The 16,921-nt window shown below is 35.8% G+C and overlaps 1 protein-coding gene and 1 non-coding gene across 16 annotated transcripts in view; both read right to left on the reverse strand.

Annotated features, from left to right (window-relative positions):
- Positions 1-16,921, reverse strand: part of ZBTB20 (zinc finger and BTB domain containing 20) — an 832,789-nt gene that overhangs the window by 416,542 nt on the left and 399,326 nt on the right. For 4 of the 15 annotated variants that reach the window (NM_001393396.1, NM_001393393.1, NM_001393394.1 and 1 more), the window contains exon 1: positions 14,823-14,941. The exons of 10 other annotated variants lie outside the window; for them this stretch is intronic. The gene's annotated coding sequence lies outside the window, so the exon portion shown is untranslated. Of the gene's footprint in view, positions 1-12,670; positions 12,739-14,822; positions 14,942-16,921 lie in introns of those variants that run through there. One more of the 15 variants, NM_001164343.2, reaches the window with a different exon arrangement.
- Positions 12,404-12,484, reverse strand: MIR4796 (microRNA 4796). Its single transcript, NR_039959.1, has one exon. It is a non-coding gene; the product is annotated as a microRNA 4796 (primary transcript).

Genomic DNA, 16,921 nt, shown 5'->3' on the forward strand with positions numbered 1-16,921 from the left:
TATTGACTTGAGTATTTTATTCTTGTAGGTTTCATCACTGGCTGATGGTCTATTTGTTGGAGTAACAGAAAGCAACATAATTTATCTTTTAGATGACTGTCATTCATATACTTGAAGATAGTTATTACATTCCTTCCTCCTGAATTTCCTGTTAATCCCGGTTCCCTTAACCATTGCTCATATCACATGTTTCAGTTCCCTACCATTCTGGCCACTTATACCTGAAGATGTTCCTATCTATTTAAATTTCTTGTACTGGGTTGGAAAGTCATATCTCTGCTACGTCATTCATGACTAGTCTTTTTAAAATATAAAGGCAATATCTTGCATTTATCCATTTAGAAAATTTCATCTGTTAGATGTAGCCCATAATTCCAGTCTTTCAATGTCTTTGGAATTCGATTACTTCATTCAACAACTTTTCTATGTATCTGGACTCATGTCATCTGCAAATCTAATGAATATGTTTTCATTCCAGTTATTGAAAAAAACTTGTGACCAAGATAAGGCCGAAAATATCCTTGCAATATGCCACAGGAATCCCCTATATTATGATATTGAGCCATTTGTTTGTACCTAATAGTGTGGTCAATCAACCAGTTACTAATCCAGCTGTACCTACATTAGTTACTAATCCAGCTGTACCTAGATTAGTAACTAACCCGGCTGTACCTAGATTAGTAACTAACCCGGCTGTACCTAGATTAGTAACTAACCCGGCTGTACCTAGATTAGTAACTAATCCGGCTGTGCCTAGATTAGTAACTAATCCGGCTGTGCCTAGATTAGTAACTAATCCGGCTGTGCCTAGTTTAGTAACTAATCCGGCTGTGCCTAGATTAGTAACTAATCCGGCTGTGCCTAGATTAGTTACTAATCCGGCTGTGCCTAGATTAGTTACTAATCTGGCTGTGCCTAGATTAGTTACTAATCTGTCTATATATCTAACCCAGGAGATATCAGATCACATATTGTAGACATCATTTTACTGAAGCCATTCTATTGTCTAGCAAGCACCACTTCTTTCAGTGGATCATGATACATTGTTTTATACTTTATTGCTTTAATAATCCATTCTAGACTGTTGCTCAGGACTAACAGCAAGTAGTTGCATCATCATAAATTGCCTTTCTATACTTTCTGTAAATCAGAAGATTTCCACATCTCTAGTTATCTAACATTGTTTCTCTTCTCCTCAAACATGGATGGTAGTAATTGACTATCTCATTGACAAATCCTCTCATGAGTATATGGTTCTCTATCCCTATTTTTAGGCTCTTCTCCTTTTCCTTTTTTTCCTGTTATCTTCCAAGGAAAGAGTCACTCATGTTTAATCATGAACGGTATGTTGGTCAGAGATAGACCTGCAAACTGGAACAACTGAGAAGATTTATACAAAGTGTTGTCCTAGAGTCCCTGACTGTGCCCGTAGAGGAAAATGTACTATGATTAGGTGAGGCTTTGCTCTCATCTCCACACAGGGCTCTGCATGGCTTTTCTATTTCACTTCTGGCAGTACTCCTGGGGAAGGCTACATCCTTTTCCTATTCATTCTGGGTGACTTCCTTTGCCAAAGATTCAAGACAGCTTTGTATTTTTCAGTCTTTAACTGAGAAAGGTTGTGATATATAATGCCTTTATTTTCCCATGAAGACTTTCTCTGAGGCATGCACATAGCCACGACCTTTACCTAATCAAGAAAAGTTGCTTGGGCAGTGGGGGATGGGGATGCAGGTTGGACTTTAAATGCACAAATCAGTTCTAATAAAAACACTGAGATTCAGGTGCCTGAGGTTAGAAATACTGGAGGGAATTCAATTACACTAATTAATATTTAAGAAGGGCTAGAGATCACACACTGAATGTGGGAAACTAGGCCAGTCAGACATGAGCATATGGGGAGGGCAAGATCAACAGATAAAAGTAACAAACAAATCATACATAAATGCTCCAACAGGAATGAAATAGAGAATATAAAATAAATGTTCCAACAGACACTGAAGAGGAGGTAAATGGTCTACCAGACATAAAAGCAAAATGTTCCAACATACACAAGACATTTTATTGGTTTAATGTAAACACATATATTATAAAAATGATTTTTCCACATAAGTTAGTAGGAAATGTTACCCATTTATAGAAACAGACTTACGGGTTCTATGAATTCACAGCATACTATATTTGCTCTCATTTCCTCACTGGCTCATCATGCAGGAGTCTCAATAAGGCTTGACTTTCATAACAGGTAGTTCTCCAATGCCTAAGCCTACCTGGATACCCAACGCCTGACAGAAGGCTGAAAAGCTGCAGAGTGTGCCTGCTTCTGCACAAGTTTTTCTAGTTCCGGTTGCTCTAATGTGATTTGGTTGGTGTCACAGCTAATACCACATTCTCTATTTGATCTGATTTTTCATCTGTGGCCCAGACAGTTGATTCTGATTTTTGGTCATTCTTTTATAGACTTGAAAGTTTTCTAGAGAAGGCACTAGTGGTGCCAGGACTATCTTGCTTCCTTCTGTCCTGTCTACACTAGCATTTAATTACACTTTTCTACCTCTTTTCTACCTCTATGCCCTCTCACCCTCCTTCATCTTGGGAGCTTCCAAAACTAGAAGCCAAGAGAATTAACTAGGTTGCTTTATAAAAATTGTATATATGTAGGGTAAACATGACATTTTGATATACATTGGATTGCTTTTGCTATCAACGGCATCATGTAGAGGTAGTAGTAGAAGCATGGAAGGGTAGAAGAAAGGACTGAGACTGATATTTGGACTCCTCTTTCAAGTTTTCTGATGTACACATAGAGTAACTAGATGGCCTGGACTGTCTATGTACAATACGGAATTTTAGGCTCCTGGAGGAAACAAACCAAAACAAAAATAAAAACAAAGTCCTTTTCCTTCAGTAGCTTTAGCTTTAGAAGAATAAATGATTCACATATACCAAAACCCACAAGATACGGTATCCCCAAAAAGTTAAATTGTCTCTTACCTAATAGAGGATCAGAAAAAGAAAAGATAGTTATTTCCTAAAAATTGTTTGAACCAAATTTGTGGTTTTCAAACTATGCTTCATGGTCCCCAGACTTACAAAGAGATGATTACAAAAAGATTATCAAATAGATATAAATAAATAAAAAAATAAATACATATATAATATGTAGTAAATACATATATATCAATTTGCAATTGTGATAAAAATGACATGCAAATTTAAATGTATTATATAAATTTAAAAAACACTGGAGACCAATGTGTTATTACAAGTTAATTATGTACAATAAGAATAAGCAGCTTTCATGCAGGCCTCTAATTAAGGCTCTCAGATTGGAATACAAGCTGTTGAAAAAAACTGTTACAATATGCAACTACTTATCAGTCTCATGATTTTTTTGATACCATATAGTATAGTACAGAAAGTCTTCACTTATTGCCATCCATAGGTTCTTGGAAACTGTGATTTTAAGTGAAACAACATATAATGAAAGCAATTTTACCATAGACTAATTGATATAAATAAGAGTTAAGTTCTTATGGCAAATTTTGGGTCACAGAAACATCATCAAGTTTCTAAATAAAGATCAAAACACTTTTGATATTAAACATTGAAATAAATGTGAGCTGTACATGCATTTAAGAAAGATTAATAAAAGCAAGAAATAAATGTGAGCTGTACATACATTTAAGAAAGATTAATAAAAGTAAGATAATTATTTAATCAATAATTCCAGTTCAGGGTCATGAGTGGATGGAGCCTATCTCAGCAGCTCAGGGACTGGTAAGGTGGGAACCAAGCCTAGACAGGATGCCATTCTATCTTAGGGGGCACTCACACACAGCCACATTCACTCAGACACACCCATGAGCCTAACACGCACATCTTTGGGATGTGGGAGAAAACCCACTACCCAGAGAAAACTTATGCAGATATGGGGAGAAAGTGCCAACTCTACACACACAGTGGCTCACTGGGAATAGTTCTTTTTTTTTTTTCCCATCAGCGTTATGACACCATGTTATTTGAGTATCTGCTATATTCCCCATACAAAAATACATTGATTTTTGAGCCAATACAATAATCCAATGCTGAGTTTTTATTCCTTTGTATATTTGCCATTATATTCTTATTGAATGACTTTATAATATTCAATATGATAAATAATCTGAATTTGAAAATGAGTTTATCTCAATAAAATATTACTCATTATTCCATATGTTAAGTTTCTAATAAGATTTAGTTTGAAAAGAGGATTCTGCTTGTTTAAAAGAAATATGAAAAATGTCTGGATCAAATAATATATATGTATCCTGCAACTCAAGGCAGTATGAATCTCATATGGCTCCAGGCTGCTCAGTTTCTGAATTTATCAACTTGCTGGCTTAGACCACTGTATACAGCAGATGCATTGGGCCCAAACTAGATTTTATATATGGGCCACTATTCCTTCAGGCTTAAGAACAGTATTTTTATACTGAGGAATAGCTTATTTATCATGAAACCATCATACATCAAAAGAAGTCACGTTGCCTTAAACTTATCCAGTACATGAAATTTATCACCCTCAAAGTTCTAGATTATCAGAATTTAATATATTAGTTTAAAATATAACCAGTTGATAACCAAGAAATAAGTCAATGGAAACCTCTTTAATTATCTAAGCAGCTCATCTTGTTTATAATAATTGTATAACTTACAGATACATACTCATTTATTTTTCAATCAAAATATATTATATTGAAAGACTTCAGAAGATTTTTTTCTTAATATTAACCAACATTACTTATAGTTAGGAACAGAGTGAGCCAAAAAGGATTCTCACCACTACAGAGAATAAAACTAGCAAACCTGGGGAAAGATCCATTTTCCAAAACCTGAACTACACTCTATGATGGTAACGTTTCAAGTATTTATAACACTTAAGTATAAGTCAAGAGTTGATTGAATGAGGCCTTTCATGATGTTTATGTAGAGTAGTCAAACCAGAATTATTTATGTATTTGTTTATTTTTAAAGGCTGTCATTTGAAAGTTATCACAGTATAAAGGTAAAGGATACACCGGAGTTTCCATTCTAGCTCCACATTCCTGGCTGTGTGACCTTGGATAATTTAGTTAAACTAAACTTCAGTTTTCACTTCTGTAAAATGAAGGAAATAGTAGAGGTTCTATTGTCATGAATTTCTAGCAAGAAATCAATGAATAAATGAAATGATGAATGAATGTTGCTTAGCATGTTGCCTGGCACATAAAAAGCTCTCAGTAAATATTAACTGTAATTAAAAAATATCTAAAAGCCGGTTGCTTTCTTTTGGTTATTTTTTTAATATGACTTGATTTTATTCATAACTTACTGACTATATTTTCTTCCCTTCTGGAATGATGTTCTATTGAGGTTTCTTTTTCTTTTATTCCAGAATGTTCTCTGAGCAATCTCTTCATTTCTGCCTCATTCATCAGATAGGATTGTAGGCGTTCATTTTGGTAGTTCTGCATTTGGTTTTCTGTCACTGCTTATGCTGTTTTCTTGTTCTAACTCAGTGGTTTAAAAAGTAAAATTCAAGTAAGGACTAAACATAAGAGAATTTACTGGGACTAATGGTTATCAAAATTGGGCATAAAGGGATGTTATTAAAAATAAATCACACAGAGGGAGAACAGCTGATGACAGCAGCTGTGAAATGGATGTACATGGTGGGAATCAGTGAGCCCCAAAGAAACAAACAAAAAACACTGGAGGGCCATGAAACTTACATGATTTACAAGGGAAACCCAAGCTTTATGAACAGCCTCTGAAGACTACAGAGGCCAAGCAAGTCACTTCTGGATGAAAATTTGGATAAGACAGCAATACTGAAAGGAGTTATGTTCCCTGATCAAATGGGAGCTACAGATAAGAAAAGAATGAGAAATAAAATGAAAATCTTTACCGAGTTTGATTTCTTTATTGTATAACCTGCACTGAGGGGACACCATCTCTGGGTATACCACTATAGATACACTTACCAAATGCTTAGTGATTATTGCAATAGTTAGAAGAGAATATATTTTAAGAGCCAAAGTTACAAATCTATGGACAAGATGAATTAATATTAGAACCCATGTTGAGATATATAGGGCCCAAGTAGTCTATGACACAAAAGTTTGTGTTTTTATTTAAATAGAACTCTAAAGACTTAGTTGTTTGAAATATATTTAATGTAGAGAAACATTTTTTTGAAAATTTGGTTTACTGTAAAGATGAATGGAGATGTCTAACTTTTTGCCTTTTTTTTCTAGATATGGACCCACCTCTCTATTTTCAAGAGCATTAAATTCAGTTAAAAACTAAAAACAAAAATACTGCCAAGGGATTGAGACGGTAAAGTAACATCATGCCTGATAGAATAAACTATCAAGACAGCATGAACAAACCCAACTGAAATGGAACAAGCAAGCTTAACACAAGTCAAAGAAGCTCTCTAGAGTGTTAAAATGAAAATACAACTAAACAGAACCAAAACTGCTATTCATGGGAATAGCAAATGAAGAATTTTCTTCAGAATCTACACGGATAACTTCTATGAGATTATTCAAAATGTGGAAATTTTTTTCAGAATTTTTGTTTCCAAATGGAATTTAATACATTTCATGAAACAAATGAAATTTTATCAGAAATAAAACATTTAAATTACCAAAAGCCTAGCCTCCTTAGGAAGGCTGTTTTAGGAAGACATGGGTAGAAATATTTTCATCAAAGCCCTGATCATCTTCCCTTTTTGAGGTGAAATCACTCTACTCTGCTGGAAACCTACATTTAGTTATTTATAAACCAGTATTAAATGTATATTGTTTCAAATCTCTATGTAGGAAAAATATCCCACATTCATTCCCATTTTACTATGAACTGTATAAACTTCCAAAATCATCATGAAAAGAAAAACATCACCCTTTCTGCTAATTAAGTGTTCTTGCTTTTTTTCTAGTAATGGGTATTTGAAAAATAACAATATGCAAGAGTATGATCTTACAGTGAATATAGCCACTAGGTCAATATGATAATTTAATGTGAGACTTTAAAATTGAGCTTTCCTTTTATGCTACTATTCTCTAAATAACTTCTTTATTTGCTATGATTAAAATATCTTTTCATCAAATTTGATATAAATATACTAGATATGGTAAATATATTTATCATTTAAAATAACAATTGAATTGTACAATAAGCACTATATCATTGCCCAATTTTTATTTTGATAAAATCTTTTTAAGTGATATCATTTCATGTTAGGCTTTTTGTGCTGCTTAATATTATAATTAATAATTCATATTTTTGTCTTTCTCCTCTCTGACAACTTTTATTTTTAATCGGTGGGCATGTGCCAAATTGGTTTGTTATTTATTTATAATGTAAAATGACAAGGGAATTGAATATGTGAAATAAGATAGATTTTCTTTCATATGACAAAAATTTCTTAGTAATGGGGATGCTTCTTGCTTACCCTTATAGATTCAAGGGTTTTAGAGAGGTTAGGTCAAATGTCACACTTCTCATATAACAACATGTGGTAAGTGCATTAAATAGACTGTTCATTTTTTAAAAATTCATTTTAGTTTTGTGAAGACATCTGGGCACATGCATAAAAAACAGGACAAAACAATATCAAAATTTGTAAAAGACTCCCTATTCCGATAAATCCTATAGTGTCAATTAAGTAAAAATTCTGACCAAACAGATGTATTTGTATTCTTTCCTAAAAACTAAAACAGGCAAACGTAATAGGAATAAACAGAGAACGTTTCAAAGATACAGAATTTCCATTGAAAAAATCAAATGTTCTGTCTGTAGGACTTTATAGAACATTAAATAATCTTTTCAGTACTGTCCATAACCAGAAACCACATAAGCTGGATGCTAGACTATTGACTAGTTATGACAAAAAATTCACAGTTTGATCTCAAGGGCATCAGCGATCCTGGGCTCAGGTGATCCTCCCGCCTTGGCCTCCCAAAGTGTTGGGATTACAGGTGTGAGCCATCATGCCTGGCCATCGTGCCAACGTATTGAAGTGGAAAGAACTAATGCTGAGCAGAGAATGGGCCATACCTGGGTGGTTTTAAGAGGTGCTGCTATAATGAAAAATCACAGGCTCACCCAAGAACTACCGTGGAATCAGAACCTCTAGGGATATGGCCCTAGAATCTGAATTTTAAGCCAGTTCCTGAGGTGCAATTCAGTTTGAGAACTACAGTCTTAAGGCAAAACCTTTCTATCATACCAGAGCTTCCAATTGTCAGGCCCTTTGAATCCACCCTTTGTGTCAAACCTTAGATAATTCAAGAGACATAACAAACGTGATCATGTTACATGCTTCCTCACAGATTTCAGTGTCTCCCATTTCTTCTATTAGTTTAAAAAACATAGTCCACCATCACAGGGCCCTGTTTAAGCCAGCTCCTCCTCTGTGGCTCTGCCTTTGTGGTCAACCTGTGCAAAACTTTGAGGCTGTGACATCACTTAGTCAGTCTCCAACATTTGGAACAAGAGAACTTTTTCTAACAATTTGATCCCAATTCCTATTTTAAGCTTGAGCATTATGAAGGCTGTATCTGTATATAATATTGAACACTTCAAAACAATTTTAGATCTTAATTATTTTGTTATTAAAATGTTGGGGGTGTTTAAGTTGACATTGAGTCAGATGTAGGAACTGATATACAGTGAAGTTAAATCCTTTAGGGTAAACTCATTCAGTGGTAGAGGCTGAACTACAGAGCCTAGGCATTCTGACATTCCACCACTGTGCTTATCAGCTTGCTCCTTGAGCAAACCTTTTCCTGCCTTTATGAGAATATGCCCATTTTATGGGCTCTGTATCTATGAGATATTTTACCTATGCTTATGTACACATGGTGTTTATCTTTCAAAGCTGGACTATGGAAAAGCCTAATTTTACAAACATGTTAGTAAAAGATTATGTAATCTGAGGTGATTACGTTTAAAATGGCAATGATAATGATGTTAATTCCAGTCCTGTGAGGTACTGTTTCTGATCTGGAAAGAGCAGTTTTCTTTTTTAACAGCTTATTTTGTATTTTCATAATCCATTTTAAGGTTTGGTATTAATATAGACATGAGAAATAAAATATAACTGTTGCCATGCCAAATGTATATCAAAAAGTTGCTAATAGCCATGACTGCTATTTGGTTAACTGTATTTCACTATTTAAATAAAATGATGGAAAATGGTGTGTCTAGGATCTCATTCATAATAATGAAAGACAATAGAAACTATTAGCATAGGTATGATGCTAATGAATGGTAAATTTTCAATAGAGATCCATCGACCAGATTGTTTGAAAAATGTTTCCTGTGGGTACGAAAAATGCACACAAACAAACACATGCATCAAAATGTCCATAATTAAGTTTTTAGGGAAAAATAACAATATATGTTGGTTAAGGACTTTCACTTAAATGGCATTATAGATCTTTCAGAAATGAGAGTTGATTTATACTTCAGTATTTTGGTTCCCAAAGGTTGGGACAGTGGGTGGTAGAGGAGAAGTAGAGTAAATGGAAGGTATACATGTATGTGTGTGCATATGGGCAACTTTAAGCACCTTGAATTTAATGAACAAAAAATGTCATTATTCTGTGTTTATATATTTTTGTGTGAAACAAGTACCTTTCTCTATCACTGGAGTTTACATGGATTTTCTCATGATATCTTTTGAGAATCTCTTTAAACACTAAAATACATTTTTCCAAATGAAAACTCCCATAATTCTGCTTTATTAATATCTGAATGAATATTTCCATTGATTTGTCCAGAAGAAGGAACTGAGTACTGTTTAGAGAGCAATCTTTTTCATGATAATTGGCAGCAATGTTTCCCTGCTATCAGAAAGAAAACTATAGAAATACGAAACTTTAGATAAACATGGAGATAAAAATAATATTATGGAGTCCAACTGGTATCTTTGAGGTGAGGACAGGCTGAGATGGACTCCTTGGCTTCCTTCTGTCCAAAAATTTCCTGTTTCCCTATTTCCTACGGTTACCACCATGGAACATGTTAAAATCTCAGTAGGGACTCTGTTTCAACTTTTCCTGTCAAAACACAGTGAAAAAGCTTAATGGAAAAAAATGTCCTTCCTATCTCCATGCCAGGCACAGTGTAAGATCCACAAACTTAAAAGCCAGGAAAATATTCTTTTATGTGCCCCAAAGCTGGGCAAGTGACCTAGTACTACAAAAATTCCCAAATAGGCATGTGACCTGACTAATGTGTGCTGTGAGATGAGTCAAGAAAAATGGAACCATCTGTACTTTTATTGGACAGTCAAATAATTTCTTTCTGTCCACCCAAAAACATAATTTCTATGTTAAGAGTGATACAAGGAGACTTTTAGAAAGTCTAATTTTTAAAATCAGAGATATTAAAATATATGAAAAGTATAACCTATTAAACACTGGTGGAGATAAGCAAATAGGCTTATGAAATCATTATTGCTTTAAAAATTTGTTACCTACTCATTGTGTACTAAGGCTTCTCTACGACATACAGAAGAGGCCGGTGCGGTGGCTCACGCCTGTAATCCCAGCATTTCGAGAGGCTGAGGCAGGTGGATCATGAGGTCAGGAGTTCAAGACCAGCCTGGCCAAGATGGGGAAACCCCGTCTCTACTGAAAATACAAAAAAAAAAAAAATTAGCTGGGCATGGTGGTGGGCACCTGTAATCCCAGCTACTCTGGAGGCTGAGGCAGAGAACTGCTTGAACCTTGGAGGCGGAGGTTGCAGCAAGCCAAGATTGCCCCACTGCACTCCAGCCTGGGTGACAGAGCAAGACTGTAAAAAAAAAAAAAAAGAAAAGAAAAAAAGACATACAGAAGGAAATCAGGGAAAATGGGAAAATGAAGGGAATTAACAAATTGCAATAATCTTTAAGAAGTAGAGTATGAACAATTTTCCTTTTCTAGGATGAAAGCTACCAACAACTGAACTCTTAGAGTGAGTGATGGCAGAAAAAAATAGCAATCAAGAATAGGGGCATGTTAGTTTTTAGACATGTTTACAAAACTCTGCCTTTTATTTCTTAAACCCATAGGTCAACCACCCATCATACCTACATTACCCCATATGACAAGTGGATTTGTTGTATGTTTCAAGTTTTTAATCTTGGTGGGAAGGGGGAGGGCAGAGAAGTATTTATTGGTAAAATATCATAATAAAGGTTGAGCCTGTCAATGATTGTACCTAACAATAATAAATATGTGTAGGAAGTAAGAACGGCAAAAATGAAGCCGGGTAGGATACTGTGGATATGGTGACAGACAAGTATCTATACGAAATCCTGAGATATTTGTCCTCCATTTCATAAATTAAAGTGCCCCCTCTTTTGCTTTACAGATAAGGAAACTGAGGTGCATTATAATAGCAACAGCAGCTGATGTGTAGTAGATCCATACCACAAGCCAGGTACGATGTCAAACATTTAAATGTATCATTTAATTTAATTTTCATAGATCTCCTACAAGACAAGTGCTATTATTTTCATTTTACATACGAGAAAACTAAAGCTGACAGAGATTAAATAACTTGTCCAAGGTTGCATAGTAACTAAGTGAAAGAGCCAAGATATGAACTCAGATCTGTCTGATTTCAAAACCCAGGCCCTTAAACACTAGGCCAGTGGTTTTTTAACCCTGATTGCACATTAGAAGCACCTGGCAAGCTTTTAAAACCTACTGATACTCAGACCCTACCCCAGAACAATTAAATCAGAATTTCTTGTACCTGGGCCCTGATGTGGGTGTTTGTTTCAAAGCCTTTCTGGGTGACTGTAACATATAGCTTGGGTAAAGAAGAATTGTTGGGTGTCTCCCATGGAGGTCAGTATATCTGTGCCAATATGTGAGGTAGTACAAGACTCAAGTGTCCTCAGTCTGTCTGCAGTGGTTTTTCCCTTGCCCCATCATGTTCACTTTGACATCTTTTTTTTATTATGATTTTTGGAGAAGTAATATACAAGTGACAATTTTTTTACAAAGCATTGTCACAGCAGAACATGGTCATAAGTCCATCAAAGAGAAACCTGTTCATATCTATGTACAGGCTATGATGAATGAATACAAAGAAGACTATGTTTATTACTCTCATCCCCAAAGGGAAGTATAAAGCTGGCCTTAAAAGCTGTTCATACCAAAGCTAATCACTAAAATTTGGAATGGCTTCCTCCTCTCCTTTCACAAATGCAATAGGGTAGCCACTGGATCTAAGGGGAAAAGATCCAATTACCACTCTTTACAATGCTTTTTCACTTAGGATCTCAAGACGACTGACAGTCATTCAAAACATAAAAGTAAAGTGAAAATATCTCTAGTAGAAGTGAAAAGAAAATGTCTGTAGTAGGAAGAAGGCCTAAATTTGTGTCTATACTCTGCCACTTTACTGCAATGACTTGAGGCCAAAAGTAAAGTGACAGAGTATAGACACAAATTTACTGCCATGACTTGAGCCTTGATTTCCTTTTCTATATGTACTTAAGCCATATCATCCTTAGGGCAGTGATCCAAAAAATGTGGTCCCCATCAGCATCATGTGGAAACATATCAGAAGTGAAATTATCAGTCCCTACCCTAGACTCTGAATCAGAAACTTGGTGAAGGGGCAGTAATCTGTGTCTTACCAAACATTGCAAATAATTCTGACCACCTCCAGCTGACTCTGATGTATCCACCTCCATGGGGTTGTTGTCTAAGAATAAAAGGAGATGGTCCATAAAATTGTTATTTTTTTTACTATCTACTGAAATCAGAAATTTCAAAATTCTCTCACAGAGATATTTTAGAGAAATAATGTTACAGCCTACATTAGTTAGATAATAACCTCATTTCTGAATTTCACTTTGAATGTGTAGACGAGGCACAAGTCAACCAGAGGTTATGCAATTAGCTTGGAGTCAAAGAGAAAGCAAGGAGTAGAGCTGAGAAGGAAACCCCAGTGTGAACTTGATTTTTATTCAATCAAACTGTTAAGGTACCAACCACGCACTTTCATCTATAATCACAATGAACCTTTTAATAAACATGTTTCTATCCTCTTAGCTTAAAAAATATAACAGTAGCTTTTTGGATTTTAAAACAGATTGACTTCTATACTTCTGGGCTAAAGGCAGCTCAAGAGTCAATAAGAATCACAAGCTTTCCACAGTGAGAAGAAAGTGCAATTGCCCAGTCCTCTCTATCTATGAAGTGCAGACAGTATTCCTCTTCCTCACCTCACACTTTCGATTATTGCAATGGTGGAAACCATGATAAATAAAAGCGCTTATCTAGTGGTTTGGTTTTCACTAAAATTACAGACTTCTGTAACATTATTTGGATACCATAAAACACAAACCAAATTTTAGGAGATGCTTTAGGGTGTTTTTTCCCCTGCCCTCCTGTCGGAAGCCCTCTATCTTTTTACTGTAATTTATCTGATATAGCTACCAAGATGCTTGATACTTTTACATGCAAGGGTGCTGAAAAACAAAGAGCGAGGGAATGGGTTGTTAATGAAATTCTCTGATTGTAAAAAGCACTCTGGAATGATCAGGTGGTAAATAATAATAAGAGGAAATAACATAAAGTGCTTAGGTGCTACAGCGATAGTCACCATATAAATGCAGAAGAGATCAGACATGAATAGAATTTGCATTTTATGCAGCTGCTGTGTGTGTATATAGAATATACAGTAGCTAATTTTTCAATAATGCTGGTAAAATATTGTTCAAAATCTATTCTTGCTGTCTTCTCACTTTAAAAGGCATTATATAGAAAAACACCCATCTGTCCTAGTGCAATGGTGAATGTGTGCAAAGAGCCTAGAAAAAGAGCCTCTTTGCATACGTGAAAAAAAAGAACTCAAATAAAAGGAGATAATGAAGAAGAGACAATAGTAACACTATTAGAACAGCTATGCAGACAAGCACAAAGGTGATCTTTGAAAAACATCAGGGATAAATAACTCTGTTAATGTGTGGCAGAGAAACTACAGTTAAGACATACAGTAATATACCAAAAATATAGACATGCTTTTATTTTGTCTACTGGGCTATTGTGATAGTGATGGTTGTTTTTGAATAGAAAGGAAGAAGAGAGTGGGAAGTAGGATTTCGTTGTTTGTTGTTACTGTTGCTGCTCAGTTTAGAACAACAACATCAACTACACACCAGACCCGTCCAACAGTTCCACAAACAATGCTTACCATGAATCTGCCCTCAATTTTCTTGTTGTTATTTTCCCTTAATACTTATTGATAACCCAATGCCCATTCATTAGATATGCTAAATCCTCGTCCATGGTTACTCTCCTTTGGAAGAGACTGAGAAGATGCTAAGAGGGAGTTCCTCTTACACATAAGGGAAGAGTCTGTTTAGGAATCTGAGAAAGCAGAGGCCAGGATAAAGAGACCACTAGTCAATCAATACTAAGCACCGAAGACTGAATCACCCAAAGATACAATTATCTCCCTTCCTTTGTTCTGTCTCTTAGTCAAATAAAGGATTGTTTGTAGAACCTTTTCTGTTCCTGATCTCTAAAAAGCAGGACTGGACTTGCACATCCAACTATAATTCAAAATATCTCACACTTCCAACTTGAAAGAAGACATAAACTGTTTCAAAGAAACTCAGAGAGAGCAAATGCATATTCACAAAACTTACACTTATTCCTAGAATAGGAAAATGGAGAGAGAACTAACCACATAAGAAAGGGCTAATCATAATAATAATAGTAATAATGATGATATCAATCAATACTTTGGATTCTAGAGAATGATTTATCACAAAAATTCACCTGTATTAAGGGAGACTCCAGGACAAGGAGGTCATTAAGCTACATTTCCATCTTCAGGATTCAGCCAAACTCAGACTCTCCGGAAAGCTGTAAATGCTCTCAGAACAGACTTTAGTAATGAGATTGGAATGAACACTGGGCCTATGGCGTAAAAGCATCTCCCTGCCCCTTGTTCTAAAAGTTAACTATTAAACCATGTGCGGTTCATCCTGATTTGGTTTACTCAATTCTAGAAACAAGGACATGCTGATCAGATTGCCCTGGGCAATTGAATACCTACTGAAGCCTTTGGGAAGACAGTGTTCTTCCCACCACCCCTACTTAAAAGGCTTCTGTTACCAGACTATCAATTCTGTGTTACTGGTGAAGGATAGAAAGTATCTTCTTTTGAAGGACAAGTTTTTCACTCACTGAGTTTTCTGCTTTGGGTATATACTCAACATGTTAAGTGCTTAATCTTTTTTCCCCCATTCCCCTTTTTCTACTGTAGTGTGTTTTGTTTGTTTGTTTTTTGTTTTTGTTTTTTTTTAATTATTTGAAGAGTCACTTGTCTGGATGCTTCGTTCTAGTAGAATTTGGCTGATTTTTTTCCCAACACCTTTTAGTGGAATGCAGTAACAGATGCATGGAGGGAGAATTGGTCTTAACAGTATTTTTAGGTTTCATCTGTGTCAGAGAGAGATCTCTTCCCTTTATTGATTTCTTGCATACACTATCCACACTACAGCTTGAAACAGCTACAACAGTGTTTGAAAAATTGGTTGTTCCTCACTGTTCAAACCATTTTTCAAAACAGTCGTTACAAGCTTCATTTTACTTTCTGTTATAAGGAGGGTTTTGTTTGGGTTGGTTTCATTTTCCTTGTGGCGTCATGCTAGCAGAGAAACACAGTCAGGAATATAGCTTTTAAATGTGGTATGATTGGGATTATAACCATATCAGAATCTATATTGAAAATTTATTAGATTGAGCCATGTGCAGTTAAAAAGAAAGAAGTCAGAAGTCTTCGATATTTTTCACAAACATGAACACCATCTCATGCAAACGTTAAAATTCACCAAACAAATGATACCCCACTGTTGGAAAGATATTTTCTCATGTCAACAACTCAGGAAGGAGTGGGGAGGGAATGGGACATATACATGTAAAATTTTTCTCTATATTTTTGATAATAACTCTCTGTGAATATGTTTTACTACCTAGGTAATGCTTATATTTGTAAAAACATATAGTTATATCAGAAAGTCAATTTTGAATAAACCTGAGAATGGCAAACTATAATTTTTAAAATACTAACCTTTTAGAACTGTTCATTTTCACTTTTATTTCCAGGACTCACTATCTTAAAGAGAAGAATAAAAGTTGAAGATCCTTGGGATTAACAGAAAGGGTGGAAATAGCCAAATGTATTCATATTTTTGGCCAGGCGCAGTGGCTTATGCCTGTAGTCCCAGCACTTTGAGAGGCTGAGGCAGGCAGATCACCTAAGGTCAGGAGCTCGAGACCAGCCTGGCCAACATGGTGAAACCCTCTCTCTACTAAAAATATAAAAAATTAGCCAGGCATGGTGGTACACACCTGTAATCCCAGTTCGGGAGGCTGAGGCAGGAGAATTGCTTGAACCCAGGAGATGGAGGTTGCAGTGAGCAAAGACTGAGCCACTACACTCCAGCCTGGGTGACAGAGCAAGATTCTGTCTCAATAAAATAAAATAAAATGACGTTCATATTTTTAAAATACAGCAATATTCATTTGTTTAAAAAACAAGATTGAGGCCGGGCGCGGTGGCTCACGCCTGTAATCCCAGCACTTTGGGAGGCCGAGGCGGGCGGATCACGAGGTCAGGAGATCGAGACCATCCTGGCTAACACGGTGAAACCCCGTCTCTACTAAAAATACAAAAAATTAGCCGGGCGAGGTGGCGGGCGCCTGTAGTCCCAGCTACTCGGGAGGCTGAGGCAGGAGAATGGCGTGAACCCCAGGGGGCGGAGCCTGCAGTGAGCCGAGATTGCGCCACTGCACTCCAGCCTGGGCGACAGCGAGACTCCGTCTCAAAAAAAAAAAAAAAAAAAAAAAAAAAAAAAAAACCAAGATTGAGA

This window comes from Homo sapiens, chromosome 3 (genome assembly GCF_000001405.40).
Source record: "Homo sapiens chromosome 3, GRCh38.p14 Primary Assembly".
NCBI classification, from domain to species: Eukaryota; Metazoa; Chordata; class Mammalia; order Primates; family Hominidae; genus Homo; species Homo sapiens.